General features: G+C 45.1%; 1 long non-coding RNA gene across 2 annotated transcripts in view; it reads right to left on the reverse strand.

Moving 5' to 3' along the window:
- Positions 1–15553, reverse strand: part of LOC105376815 (uncharacterized) — an 83235-nt gene continuing 67682 nt past the window's right edge. Inside the window, exon 3 of one of the 2 annotated variants that reach the window (XR_001737918.2) lies at positions 1–3096. This is a non-coding gene — a long non-coding RNA (uncharacterized LOC105376815). The remainder of the gene's footprint in view (positions 3097–15553) is intronic. The other variant, XR_947015.2, reaches the window with a different exon arrangement.

Raw genomic sequence — 15553 nt, forward strand, 5'->3', positions numbered from 1 at the left:
TCTATTTCTTTTTTTTTTTTTTTAGTAGAGACGGGGTTTCACCGTGTTAGCCAGGATGGTCTCAATCTCCTGACCTTGTGATCCACCTGCCTCGGCCTCCCAAAGTGCTGGGATTACAGGCATGAGCCACCGTGCCTGGCCAACTTAGAAGAATTTCTGTGAAGATTAAACAAGATGCTATATCTGACATGCTCAGCACAGCCCCTGGAATAGTATAAATACCCAACAGTTGATAGCTACTTTGTTATTTGACATGGTTTGGCTCTGTGTCCCCACCTAAATCTCATGTCAAATTGTAATCCCCACGTGTTGCAGGACCTGGTGGGAGGTGATTGGATCATGGGGGCAGACTTCCCCCTTGCTGTTCTCGCTGTTCTTGTGAGCTCTCATGAGATCTGGTTGTTTAAAAATGTGCAGCGCTCCCTGCTTTGCTCTCTCTCTCCTGCTGCCATGTGAAGGTGTGCTTGCTTCCCCTTCAACCTTCCGCCTTGATGTAAGTTTCCTGAGGCCTCCCCAGCCATGCCTCCTGTACAGCCTGTGGAGCTGTGAGTCAATTATACCTCTTTTCTTTATAAATTACCTGGTGTCAGGTAGTTCTTTATAACAGTGTGAGAATGGACTAATACATTATCATTGCTATTATTATGACAATGACTGTTTCAATTATTATTAAGGCAAATAATATCTATTAAGCAGGCATCACAATTTCAAATGCCTACAGAGGCTGAACAGGCAACACAAATCTATGAATAGGGCAGTGAGCAATAATGGGGCATGGTGGAGTCTGTGGCAAATTGGAGTGTGCATGCCTTTGCTTAAAGGCACTCTGTGAAATAATTAAAAAATAAATATTTAATCTTTTTGTCTGGTTTCTAGTTCTCAGCAGGGTTTCTGAGTTTCTCGGAATTTACTGTACTTTGCTTGCTAGTGAGGGGACTCCCAAAGAGCTTCAGGATGAGAGCTAGTCACCAAAAAGACCAAGCCATGATTAGAGGGTTGAAACTTTCAGCACCACCACTCATCTCTGGGAAGCGGAGAGGGGCTGGAGATGGAATTTAATCACCCATGGCCAAAGATTGTAATCAATCATGCCTAAATAATGGAACCTCCATAAAAACCCCTTAACAATGGGGTTCAGAGAGTTTCTGAGTTGGTAAACACATGGAGGTGCTGGGTGGGAGGGTAGGGGGCCGGGAGAGGACACAGAAGCTCTGCGCCCCTCCACCAGTACCTTCCATCTGGCTGTTCCGGAGTTGTACCCTTTGTAACAAGCCAGCAAACATAAATGAAGTGTTTTCCTAAAATCTGCGAGTCATGCAAGTGAAATATTGAGCCTGAGGCGGGGTCAGGAGAACTCTCGATTTGTAGCCAATTGGTCAGAAGTCTGGGTGATCTCCTGGGACCAGTGTCTGAAGTCAGGCAGTTTTGGGGGACTGAGCCCTTCACTTGTGCAGTCCGCATGCATTCCAAGTAGTTACTGTCGGAATTGAATTGAATTATTGGACCCTCAGTTGGTGTCGGAGAATTGCAGAATAGGTGTGAAAAAACAACAACATAATTTAGTGTCAGCTTAAGAAGACAGCAAGGTAGCACATGGCCAAACTAAAAATAATAATAATATTTTAAAGTACAGGCTGGGTGCAGTGGCTCATACTCGTAATCCCAGTGCTTCAGGAGGCCAAGGTGGGATGATTGCTTGAGTCCAGGAGTTGACCAGCCTGGGCAACATGGCAAGACCCTGTCCCCACAAAAAATTTACAAATCAGCCAGGCATGGTGGTGCACACCCATAGTTCTAGCTACTCAGGAGGCTGAGGCGGGAGGATCTCTTGAATCCAAGAGGTGAAGGCTGCAGTGAGCTATGATCACACCACAGCACTCCAGCCTGGGCGATAGAGCAAGACTCTGTCTCAAAAAAAATAAAAAAAGTACAGCACAGTGTCAAGTGACTGAAGGAGGCCCAGGGTGAATCCTGAGGGGCCAGCCATGCTTGGTTGGTGGTTACCCCAGTGTCTGCTAGGTGACAGTTCACTGAGCCAGTTAATAAAGTATTGTACTTGTTTCTGTCTGTGTTATTACTTTACCATATGTAATAAATCTCAAAAGCTGTTTATAAGTATTTAACTATACAAGTCAAATAAAAAACATCTAAGGACCAGATCTGGCCCCCAGGCAGTGCGTTTACTACCCCTGAGTTAGGTACTCCTCCCAGAACGAGAGCACCTGGCATGCTGCAATCACCTGGGTACCAGGAGTTAAGAATCTCATCGAGTAAGAGCTGGCAGAATTGGAACAGGACCAGAAGAGCTCATCTGGTCCATGCACATATGCTATTATCATTCCCATTTCTCAGATGAGGCCACTGAGGCCCGGAACATCAGAAGGCATCATGTCACTTGGGACCTTAAAATTCCCAACAGCCTGACTCTTTTGTCCTGTCTTCTTCACAAGCCTCATGAAGCCCCCCAGCAAGCTGGTGTCTAGAAAAGGCAGGCGGGGTTGCGAGGTTATCTCAGTCAGCTTTTATGTTCTTGATTCCCCCTTGTTGCGATTTCAATTATTATTTTAGCGATGCTTTTCAAAAATACTCCAAAGCTTTCAGGCATTAATGTCTCATCAACCTGGATTCATCATAGTTGTGATTACAATCTTCTTAAGAATAATAATTCTCTGCATTGGCCATCAACTTGTCAGTAGGCAAGCTCAAAACACTTAGCAGAGGTTGACTCATGCCCCCGAGGCTGATCAGAGACAGAAATTTTCTCCCCAGATATTCAGCAATCTTGGTTATAACTCAGGGCACCATGCAGCCACCAGCGGTCTCCAGTAATAGAGCCAGGCTCATCTCTAGGCACTGGATGACATCACATCAGTGCTGCCTCCCACCGTGGATCCCAAGATGATTTGAGGCTGTACAAGGCAAAGCATTGAATAAACATTGACTTACATTAAGAGATAACCTCTCATTCATTCCTTTCCCATTTTTTCTCGCAGATTTCAACAAGTAGAAAGTCTCAGTCTTGTTCTCATCTGTCCTTGACACCTCTGTATTCCTCTTCAACAAAGAAAGAACAAGCCCCAGGCTCAGATGAGAGGTCTGTCGAGAATTTAATAATGTAAATTTGCATTAATCATTTTTTTTTTTGAGTCGGAGTCTCACTCTGTTGCCCAGGCTGGAGTGCAATGGTGCGATCTTGGCTCACTGAAACCTCTGCCTCCCGGGTTCAAGCGATTCTCCTGCCTCAGCCTCCTGAGTAGCTAGGATTACAGGCACGTGACACCATGCCCGGCTAATTTTTGTATTTTTAGTAGAGACGGGGTTTCACTGTGTTGGCCAGGCTGGTCTCAAACTCCCAACCTCAGGTGATCCGCCTGCATCAGCCTCCCAGAGTGCTGGGATTACAGGTATGAGCCACCGCACCCTGCCTATCATAGTTACATGGCCATCTTGTATCTATGTTAAGTGACGTTGGTATGATGAAAATTTCCTTTTCAAAGGAATTGTTTAAGTAAGTAAAAGGTGAATCTAAAAAATATATAATAATTTAGGTCACAGGTCTGCAAACTATGAGTCGAGTCAAATCTGGCCAACTGCCTGTTTATGCACCGTTCACAAACTAAGAATGGATTTTATGGCCAGACATGGTGGCTTACGTCTGTAATCCTAGCACTTTGGGAAGCCAAGGCAGGCAGATCACCAGGTCAAGAGATCGAGACCATCCTGCTCAACATGGTGGAACCCCATCTCTACTAAAAATACAAAAATTAGCTGGGCGTGGTGGCGGTCACCTTTAGTCCCAGCTACTTGGGAGGCTGAGGCAGGAGAATTGCTTGAACCCGGGAGGCAGAGGTTGCAGTGAGCCGAGATCACACCACTGCACTCCAGTCTGGTGATGGAGCGAGACTCTGCCTCAAAAAAAAAAAAAATGGATTTTACATTTTTTAATGGCTGGAACAAAGATCAAAGGAAGAATACTATTTTGTGTGAGTCAGCCATGGTGACTCACACCTGTAATCCCAGCATTTTGGAAGGCTGAGGCAGGAGGATAGCTTGAGGCCTGGGGTTCAAGACCAGCCTAGGCAACATAGCAAGACACCATTGCTACAAACAATTTAAAAATTAGTTGGGCATGGTGGAGTACATCTGTGGTCCCAGCTACCTGGGAGGCTGAGGTGGGAGGATCACTTGAGCCCAGGAGGTTGAGGTTACAGTGAGTTATGAGCACACCACACACTTCAGCTTGGGTGACACAACAAGACCCTGTCTCTAAAAATAATAATATTTTGTGGTAGTGACAAATATATGAAGTTCAAATTTCAGGGTCCATAAATAAAGTTTAATTGGCATACATCCAGGTTCATTAGTTTACTTCTTGTGTAAGGCTTCTTTCCTGCTACAATGGCACAGTTGAGTAGTTGCAACAGACAATGGGCTGCAAAGTCTAAAATATTTATTATTTAATCCTTTATGGAAAGAGTTTGCCACCTCCTGGTGGAGGTGGTTAGCTAATATGGCAAAGATCTTGGTGATATGGCAAAGATCCAGTGAACTCGTCACTGAAACTCTGGGAGATTGTCATCATTTATTTCCACCCAGTTTATAGGTGAGGAGGAAACTAAGGCTCAGCGAGGTTCAGTGGCTTCCCCAAGGTCACACAGCTAGTCAGCAGCAAGCAGGGATTTGAAATCAAGTTAGATTTGAAAGGGGCAGGAGGATACACAGGGCTAAAAATAACATATGCTTTACTGAGCTTTCTTTCCACAACTCACACCCGCTCCGTTCTGCATGTCCCCCACACACTTCCCACTATCTCTCTTTTTTATTTTTATTTTTTATTTTTATTTTTTAAGAGATGATATCTCTCTATGTTGTCCAGGCTGGATTTGAAGTCCTAGGCTCAAGAGATGCTGCCGCCTCATCCTCTCGAGTAGCTGGGACTGCAGCCCTTCCTCTTCTGCCCTCACTCTATGGGAGGAAGCCGTGGATTCATCATCATTTCCTAATAATGTGGCTCGTCTCCTCAAGCTCAGGACAGGCCCCTGGGGAGGGAACTGTGTCTTATACAAAGTTCACACACTTTAGCAGGACAGGAGAGGTCCTCTGCGGCTTGAGCCTGGTCTCCAGCCTCACCTCACCTCTCCCTTGCTTATGTTTGATGCTCCAGCGATCCTGAATTGTAACTCCCAAACCCGTCCCCAAGTAATATCACTACCAGTTACAACTTCCCCAGCCTAATGTGCTAGCTCAGGATTCTACCTTTACACAGGCTGTTCCTTCTGCTGAAAACCCTCCCTGCCTCTTTTATACCTAACTCCTATTCATTTTTCAAAGCCTCAATCAGGCATCAGTATGGAAACCACTGTGTTCTCCAGTCTCACTCCCAACAGAGGAGATCTGTCCCCCGTGCTGCCTCCGTGCCTCCTGTTATTGATAAGACCGTAGAACGGGCAGCTTAGACTGCAAGTTCTGGAGCCAAACAGCCTGGGTTCCAGTCTGGCTCCTCCTAGTTCTAACTGTGTGTTCTTAGACAAGTGACTGAGCCTCTCTTTGCCTCAGCTGCTTCATCTGTAAAATGGGTGCAGTGACAGTAGATTGTGCCTGGCATCAGTGTTAGGATTGAATAACACCCGTGAAACCCCTGCACATAGTAAGTGCTCGATAAATTTTTGCTGTTATACTGCACTGTATTTGCAGTTGTCAGTTTCTTTCCCCTCCCACACACCCTGGAGTTGATCGATCAGGGGTTCTGTGGGACTGGAGACTGGCTCTTGCCTAAGGGGACAACTCCCCAGTGCCTAATGCAGTGTCAGATATGGGATAGATACTCAGTAAAGGTGAGTTCCCTCCCATCTTTTTCCTCCTCACCTCCACCCTACCCCTGCTCCCAGCTGAATCAAGCAAACTGAGCACAAGCAAACTTGTACTAGCCTGCCCAAGTACAAGTCTGCTTTCTCACGGGGGTCCCAGGGCCATGCCAGGAGCTGCCCCTGCGGTGTCCCTTCCAGCCCCTTGAAAATCAGAGGACAGGCCGGACGCCATGGCTCACGTCTGTAATCCTAGCACTTTGGGAGGTCGAGGCAGGTGGATCACTTGAGGTCAGAAGTTTGAGACCAGCCTGGCCAATATGGTAAAACCCCGTCGTACTAAAAATACAACAACAACAAAAAAAAATAGCCAGGCATGGTAGTGGGTCCCTGTAATCCCAGCTGCTCGGAAGGCTCAGGCAAGAGAATCGCTTCAACCTGGAAGGCAGAGGTGGTGGTGAGCCAAGATCATGCCACTGCACTCCAGCCGGAGCGTCAGAGAGAGACTCCATCTCAAAAAATAAAAAAAAAATAAAATAAAAAGAAAGGAAAGAAAGAAAGAGAGAGAGAGAGGAAGGAAGGGAAGGAAATCAGAGAAGAGTACCCTATAAACACTGGTTTATGAGCCAGGAAACAGACTAAGAGGCTTGCCTTGTTCCTGAGTCAGTGGGACCTCAAACAAGGCCACAGCAGCGTCCTTGTTCCTGGTCCAGCCCCAGCCTCTCTCCTGTGAGTGGGCTTCCCTGCTAAACATAAATCTGTTAAAAAAAAAAAAAAAAAACCCAGCCAAAGACATGCCTGAATGGTGTCCTCGCAGCTGGGCTGGGGGCCAAGGTAGCAGGAGGCAGAGCAAGGCCGAGCCTCCCCAGTCAAACCAGAGTCCCCATCCGTCTAAATGGAAAGGAGGTGGGTCAGCTGCAAAACAGGCCTGAAAGCCCGGGTATAACACCATAGCGAAGAGCTCCGGCCCTGGGTTCAAATGTGAACCTCACAACTTAATAGCTGTATAACCTTGGGCAAGGCACTTCACCTCTCTGAGCTTCAGTAAAATGGGAATAGTAGCATCCTGTCTCACAGAGTGGCCATGAGGATGAACAAGCACTGGAAAGTGCTTTGCACACAGAGCCAGGCACAAAGTACTGTCATCCGCCCTTCCCTGTAGCTTCACCTTCCGCAGTTTTGGTTACCCCTGGTCAACAGTGGCCTGAACACAGGTGAATATGTACAGCACAATAAGAGTTGTTGAGGGAACGAGAAAGATCACATTTACGTAACTTTTATCACAGGATACGGTTATAATTATTCTCTTTTACTTTTACTGTTGTTAATATCTTACTGTGCCTAACTTATAAATTAAACTTTATCATAGGTATGTATGTATAGAAAAAAACACAGTATATATAGGGTTTAGTACTATCTGCAGTTTCAGGCATCCACTGGGGGTCTTGGAATGTAGCCCTCTCAGATAAGGGGGACAATTGTAAGTCTTTACTTCACCCAGCTCTTTTATTTATTTATCTATTTATTTATTGGGAAAAGATCTCTCTCTGTCTCTCAGGCTGGAGTACAGTGGTGTGATCACGGCTCACTACAGCCTCGACCTCCCGGACTCAAGCTATCCTCCCACCTCAGCCTCCCCAGTAGCTGGGACTACAGGCTCACGCTACCACGCCAGGCTAATTTTTGTATTTTTTGTAGAGATAGAGTTTTGCCATGTTGCCCAGGCTGGTCTCAAACTCCCAGGCTCAAGCAATCTGCCTGCCTCAGCCTCCCAAAGTGCTAGGATTACAGGCATGAGCCAACGCACCCAGCCAAACCGGCCCTTATCCTCAGTGTAGGCACTTCCAGTGACTCACGGGAATCCTTGGGACCCCGTCTTTCCTTCTCCAGGCCTCAGCTCCTTCAGCGTAAGTCATTCCTTATATTCACCTCCTCAGGGTGGAGAATAGAAAGACCAGGCTTGTGGGGCACACTGGGAACAAGATGTGGATGGGCCAGCAGGGGTCATGAGACTCATCTGGCCCCCATAGGACCATAATCACAACTAGTGCTTGGGAGCACTGCCTAAGCCAGGGTGCCCCCAAAAGCTGATCTGATACAAGGCTTCGTGTACCTGAATATGTCGCTTACTGGGGTGAGAAGTTTGAGGTCAGAAGTTTGAGACCAGCCTGGCCAATATGGTGAAACCCCCCAATATGGTGAAACTGGGGAGGTGATCCCAGGATGAGGAAGTGAGACAGAAAAAGGAAGGCAGACAGCCACCTCCGCGGACAGCTAGTGTTCATTCCTTCCCAATGGGGGGATCCTGGGAGCCACTGGAGAACATGAGCCGAGGGATCTGGGGTCTTCGTACACCAACTCCCGTTTGCCACTTTACAGAGGGCTGCTATCTACATATGTGATGGAGGAGTGTTAATTCCCCATCACTTTATACCTGCGGAGGCAGCATGAAAAAATCCCAGGCAAAAGGTGGAAGGGGCTGGCAGCTGGAAATGGGGTGTGTGCTGTTGCCAATGAGGGTGAGGGACAGTGGAGGCACCCACTGCACCTGCTACAAGCTCCTACTGTGTTCCAGGCACTCAGGCACCATCCACATGATTTCTCACTTAATCCCCCCAACAACCTTGAAAGATGGGCATCACTATCTCCTTTCTTTTTATTTATTTATTTATTTTTTCTTATTTTTTTTCTCTCCTCTCTTTTTAAAGCAGCTTTATTGGCCGGGCACGGTGGCTCATACCTGTAATCCCAGCACTGCGAGGCTGAGGCAGGCGTATCACCTGAGGTCAGGAGTTGGAGACCAGCCTGGCCAACATGGTGAAACCTCGTCTCTACTAAAAATATAAAAATTAACCAGGGGTGGTGGCGCATGCCTGTAATCCCAGTTACTCAGGAGGCTGAGGCAGGAGAATCACTTGAATCTGGGAGGTGGAGGTTGCAGTGAGCCAAGATCATGCCATTGCACTCCAGCCTGGGAGACAGAGCAAGACTCTGTCTCAAAAATAAAAAATAAAAAATAGGAAGCCACGGTGGCTCAAGCCAGTTATCCTGGTGCATAAAGAGGTGAGGCTACGTGTTTGAGGCCAACATAGGCAACATTAAAAAAAAAAAAAAAACTCTTACTCATTAAAAAAAAAACCGCTTTATATACCACAAAATTCACCCATTTTAAGTGGACAATTCAACTTTTTTTAGTCTATTTGCAGAGTTTGGCCACCATCGCCACAATCTAATGTTAGAACATTGCCCATTTGCAGTCACTCCCCATTTTCCCACCATGGACACCTCCCACCAGTCCTAGGCACTCATTAATTTCCAATTTCACTTATTTCACTATTTCCTGTCTCCATACATCTATCTATTCTGGACATTTTATATACATGGAGTCATACTGTGTTAGTCTGTTTTTGCTATGTCATAGAGGAATATCTGCAACTGTGTAATTTATCAAGAAAGGAGGTTTAATTGGCTCATGGTTCTTCAGGCTGTACGGAAGCACGGTACCAGCATCTGCTTCTGGTGAGGGTCTCAAGAAGCTTCCATCATGGCAGAGGCAAAGGGGGAGGATGTGAGTCACATGGTAACAGCAGGAGTGAGAGAGGGTGTAACGGGGCCGGGGGGTGGTTAATGCCACTCTTAAACTACCAGATCTCGTGTGAACTCACTGAGCGAGAACTTACTCATCACCAAGGGGATGGCACTAAGCCATTTATGAGGGATCCACCCCGCACAATCCAAACACCCCCCACCAGGCCCCACCTCCAACATTGGGGATTACAATTCAACATGAGATTTGGAGGGGACAAACATCCAAACCATATCACATACAACATAGGGTCTTTTGTGTCTGGCTTCTTTCACCTAGCATAATGCTTCTGAGGTTCGTCCATGTTGTAAATGTTTCAACACTTCATTCTTTTTTATTGCTAAGTGGTATTCCATCATATGGATGCACCACATTCTGTCTATCCCTTCATCTATTGATAGAATTTGAATTGTTCCCACTCTCTGGCTATTGTGAATAGCCAACATGCTATGGACATTCACATACAAGTACTTGTGTGGACATCTGTTTTCACTTTCCTTGAGCAGACTTAGGAGTGGAATTGCCTGATCATATGGTAACTCTGTTTACTATTTTGTGAAAATGCTTTTTCAAAGACACTGCACCATTTGACATTCCCACCACAATGGATGAAGCCTCCAATTCTTGACCACCTTGTCACCACTTGTTATTATCTGTCTTTCCAGTGTAGCCGTCCTGGTGGGTGTGAAGTGGTATCTCACTGCGGTTTTGATTTGCATTTCCCTAAGGATGCAAAGCACTAAGCAAGTGGAGCAGCTTTCCATGTGAAAATCTTCTTTGGAAATGACTATTCAAATCCTTTGTCCATTTTGTAATTGGGTGATATGTCATTTTTACCATCTCCCTTTTATGCAGAGCAGCTTGTGGGGACCAAGCAGCCTGACCCCTGGGCACTGCCCTACCCCAAGCTGTCTTCAGATCCCCATTTGACCTGATTGCCTGAGGGCAGAGTTAAACGCTGGATGAGAGTCGAACTTTTGATTCTTTGGAAACGGGCTGGGAGATTCCACATCACTCCTGCTTTCAGAGGCCTGTAATTACCAGAGAAGTCCCAGAGGAAAGTGCTTTGCTTCAGCCTGCTCCCCTCACCCAGATAAGCCTGCACCTCTTCCAGAACGAGGGACCAGGTCACAGCCCAGGCCCATCCTGCCAGGTGCTCTGAGTTTGCAGACGTGTGTTGTGAACCATGTGGCTCCTTCAGCCTCCTACCCCCATCCCTCCCTGCCCTCCACTTAAGAGCATGGCCTGCTTTCTTCTGACCTCAGGTCTTGGCTCTACTTCTAGCTACTATTCTCGGCTCTTCTCCACAGTGCAATGATTGCACTAATGGCCCTGTGGGTAACACCCCTGCTGGGCTGACCCAGCTCTCCTCTAGAAGTCATCAGTCAGTCCTCTCAATGGACATTGTCTTAGCACCTGCTTGGTGCAGGATGCTGGGGACATGGAGAGAACAGGACAGTCTGTGCCCCTGACAAACCCCCAGCCTGGTGGAGGAGGCAGAACCATCAATGATTGATGGCAATGAAGTTTTATGGGAGGAATATTAGGCATGAAAAGTCTGTTGGAAAATTGTGGGGTGAGGGGTAGGAGGCAGAAGTGAAGCCAGTTTCATGGACAGCCTCACTGTTGGAGGGTCGGCTTGGGAAAGGGCGTTCCAGGCAGAGGGAACAGCAAGACCATGGCAGAGAGGTGCAAAATATGTTTAGGGAAATACAGGTTGCTCTGAGTTGTTGGATCATAAAAGGAAGGAGTGGGGACCTAGTAGGGCTGGGGTCATAGAGGGTCTTGAGTGCCATGCAAAGGAGTTTGGAACAGGGGGAGTGAATGAGGGATTTAAGCAGGGAAGGGGCTGTTCAAATCTGTAGTCTGGAAAAACACAACTATGTAGATCAGTTTCTATTTATTTATTTATTTAATTTGTTTATTTTGAGGTGGAGTCTCACTCTGTCACCCAAGCTGGAGTGCAATGGCATGATCTCAGCTCACAGCTGAGATTACAGGTGCCTGCCACCATGCCCGGCTGATTTTTGTATTTTTAGTACAGACAGGGTTTCACCATGTTGGCCAGGCTGATCTCAAACTCCTGACCTCGAGTGATCCACCCGCCTCGGCCTCCCAAAGTGCTGGGATTACAGGTGTGAGCCACCAAGCCCAGCACAGTATCTCTTTAAATGCAGCCCTCTGCTGCTCCCTGGGGTCTCTCGTGCTGCCAGGTAATTCCACTACATTTCCCAATCCATTCACACTCCCACTCTCCTAAATGACCGTTTCACACCTTCCCTCTCCCATAGCTCTGACACCTCCTCCCCATCCCCCATCTCAGCTAATGACCTTCCTTGCTACTTATGAAGAAGAGAAGCAACCAGAAGAGACAGCCCACACCCATCCATCCCCTCATTCCCAACCTATGTGCCTCTGTGCTCTGTGGTTCCTTTTGTTGCTATGAGTGAACTCTCCCACTCTTGCCTGAGACCAATTCCTCCTCTTGTGTATTGGACCTCTTCAGCTAGGAAGGACATCCATCAGCTGGCCCCTGTCTGCTGGGTCATTCTCCTCACCATACAAATCTCTACCTTACTGATATGGTTTTGCCTTGTCCCCATCCAAATCTCATCTTGAATTGTAGTTCCCATAATCCCCATGTGTCTTGGGAGGGACCCAGTGGGAGATAATTAAATCACAGAGGCAGTTACCTCCATGCTGTTCTCATGATAGTGAGTGAGTTATCGAGAGATCTGATGGTTTTATAAGGAGTTTTCCCCACTTCGCTCTACACTTCTCTTTCCTGCCACCATGTGAAGAAGGACATGTTTGCTTCCCCTTCCACCATGATTGTAAGTTTCCTGAGGCCTCCCCAGCCCTGCAGAACTGTGAGCCAATTAAACCTCTTTTCTTTATAAATTACCTAGTCTCAGGTATTTCTTCATAGCACCATGAGAACAGACTAATACTCTTACCTTAAGATAATTTCTCAATCCTCACTTTTTTTTTTTTTTTGACCCTACATGTCCCTCCAGGTACTGGCTCATTTCTCTGATCATTTTTAAGAACCCAATAACATTTTTAGAAATAAAAATATATTAATTGAAATTTAAAAATCAGTGGCTAGATTAAAAAGCAGATGATATAGGGTTGAAAAGATAATGGAGAAAATGGAAGATAGATTGGAAGAAACTGTCCAGAATGCAGCACAGAGACAGAATTATAAACTATGAAAAAGAGATTAAAGACATAGAGGACAGAGTGGGAATATCTAACATGTATCTCATTGAAGTTTCAGAAGGAAATGAGTGTGGTAGGATTAAAAATTCAGAAATTTTCAGAAAAGATGGGTGTGGTAGGATTAAAAATCCCCTCCCTCCAGATATCCATGTCCTAATCACTACAACCTGTGAATGTTACCTTATGCAGCAAAACAGGGAAGGGGATCTTTGCAGAGGTGATTAAGTTAAGGGTCATAAGATGGGGAAATTAGCTTGGGTCATCTGGGTAGACCTTAAAGGCAATCATATGAGTCCTTGTAAGAGAGAGATGGAGACTCAACAACACACAGAAAAGAGGTCTGTATGAAGACAGAACAGGGAGAGATTTGAAAATGCTGCCCCTGAAGATTGAAATGGAGCTGCCACCAACTAAGAAATGTTGACAGTCATCAGAAGCAGGAAGAGCCAAGGAATAAATTTGCCCCTAGAGCCTCCAAAGAAAGCATGGCCCTGTCAACATCTTGATTTCAACCCAATAATTTTGATCTAGTACTTCTGACCTTCAGAATAATGAAAGAATACATTTCGGTTTTAAGCCATCAAGTCTGTGGAAATTTGTTACAGCAACTACAGGAAACTAATACAATGGGAGAGAAGCAATATTCAAAAGGATGATAGCTAAAAAATGTTCAGAACTGATGAAAGACATGAATTGTCAGATTCAAGAAGTGCAGGAAATAAAGAGCAAGATGACAGTTTAAAGCCACATCTAAATATAATGAACCTGCAGGAGCGTGTGGTCAAAAATGAAACATAGGCCAGGCATGATGGCTCATGCCTGTAATACCAGCACTTTTGTAGGCTGAGGCAGGAGGATTGCTTGAACCCAGGAGTTAAAGACCAGCCTGCGCAATATAGGGATACCCCATCTCTACAGAAAATTTAAAAAATTAGCCAGGCATGGTGATGCATGCCTGAGGTTCCAGCTACTTGGGAGGCTGAGGCAGGAGGATTGCTTGAACATGGGAGGTTGAGGCTGCAGTGAGCCACGATCACACAACTGCACTCCAGCCTTGGTGACAGAGTGAGACAGGAATGAAAGAAAGAAAGAAAGAAAGAAAAAGAAAGAAAGAAAGAAAGAAAGAAAGAAAGAAAGAAAGAAAGAAAGAAAGAAAGAAAGAAAGAGGGAGGGAGGGAGGAAGGAAGGAAGGAAAGAGAGGAAGGAAGGAAAGAAGGAAGGAAAAGAAAGAGAGAGAGAGGAAGAAAGAAAGAAAGAGAAAGAAGAAAGAAAAAGAAAGAGAAAGAAGGAAGGAAGGAAGGAAGGAAAAGAAAGAAAGAAAGAGAAAGAAAGAAAGAAAGAAAGAAAGAAAGAAAGAAAGAAAGAAAGAAAGAAAGAAAGAAGAAAGAAAAAGAAAGAAAGAGAAAGAAGGAAGGAAGAGAGAAAGAAAGTCAGAGAGACAAACAACAGATTACCAACAAAGTAACAGGGACTAGTGGGCAGCTGACTTTTCAACAGTAACAACTGTAGCCAGAAGACAGTGTAACAATATTTTGAAAGGGCTAATAGAAAATAAGAGTCTAGAATGATGTACCCAGCAAAACTATCTCTCAAGAACAAGGACAAAATATTCAAACAAAGCAATGTTGAGTGTGTTGGCCACCAACAAACCTTCATCAAAGGAGTTTATTAGATACACCTCAGGAGGAAGGAAAATGATCCCAATGTAAGGTCTAAAATGCAAGATAAAACAATAAGAGGCAAAAAGAGGCAAAGAGATAGGTAACTATTAGTAAATATTAACTATAAAAATAGTATCTGTACAAATTAATTTATTATTCAATGCAGCTCCAAATTAAACCCCAACAAGGTGTTCATGGCATATGACAATCTCTTTCTATAATTTAGAAGCAAAGGGTCAAAAGGAGCCAAGACATTCCTGAAGAAGAATAGCAAGGAGTAGGGCTTGGTCTACCAGGTCTCAAGAGAACATAAAGTGATAATTAAGACTTGCTTTAAAGCACTTGTGATCAAGATAGTGTGGAATTGGCCCAGGGATAGACACATAGACAGTGAATGAGACTAGAGAGTCCAGAAGCAGACTCAAGAATAAATGAAAATGTGATCTGTAGATGACATGGTTTTGCAAAATAAGGTAAAATATGAACTATTCAATAAACATAGCTTATGTAGTTACTTATCCATATGGAAAAAAACTGAAATTGTATCCTTCTCTATACAAAATCAATTCCAGATGGATTAAAGTCTTAAATGCATAAGGCACAACTTTTAGAAGAAAATAAAGGAAAAGTACTTCTGTAACCTCAGGGGAAGGAGGAATTTCTTTTAAAGGACACAAAAAGCACAAATAATAAAGGAAAGTATCAACAAACTCTACTACATTAAAAATAAGAACTTCGGCTAGGTGTGGTGGCTCATGCCTGTAATCTCAGCACTTTGGGAGGCCGAGGCGGGTGGATCACAAGGTCAGGAGATTAAAACCAGCCTGGCTAACATGGTGAAACCCTCTCTCTACTAAAAACACAAAAAATTAGGCGGGCATGGTGGCATGCACCTGTAGTCCCAACTACTCGGGAAGCTGAAGCAAGAGAATTGCTTGAACCTGAGAGGCAGAGGTTGCAGTGAGCCAAGATGGTGCCACTGCACTCCAGCCTGGCAACAGAGTGAGACTCCATCCCCCCACCCCTCCCCCCCAAAAAATAACTTCTGTTCACACACACAAAAACACCATCTAGAAAATGAAAAGACAAGTCACAGGTTGGGAAATGATACTTAGAATGCATATAATTTACCTAAGATTAGGATAAGAATATGTAAAATGCTCCTGAAGAATCAATACAAAAAAAGCAACACAAAAGAAAAAGGACTAAAAACATAGCTAGACCTTGTGGAGACAAGGAAACAAGTATTGCCAATAAACATGAAAAGATGCCCAAGCTCA

Source organism: Homo sapiens, chromosome 1 (genome assembly GCF_000001405.40).
Source record: "Homo sapiens chromosome 1, GRCh38.p14 Primary Assembly".
In the NCBI taxonomy this organism is placed as follows: Eukaryota; Metazoa; Chordata; class Mammalia; order Primates; family Hominidae; genus Homo; species Homo sapiens.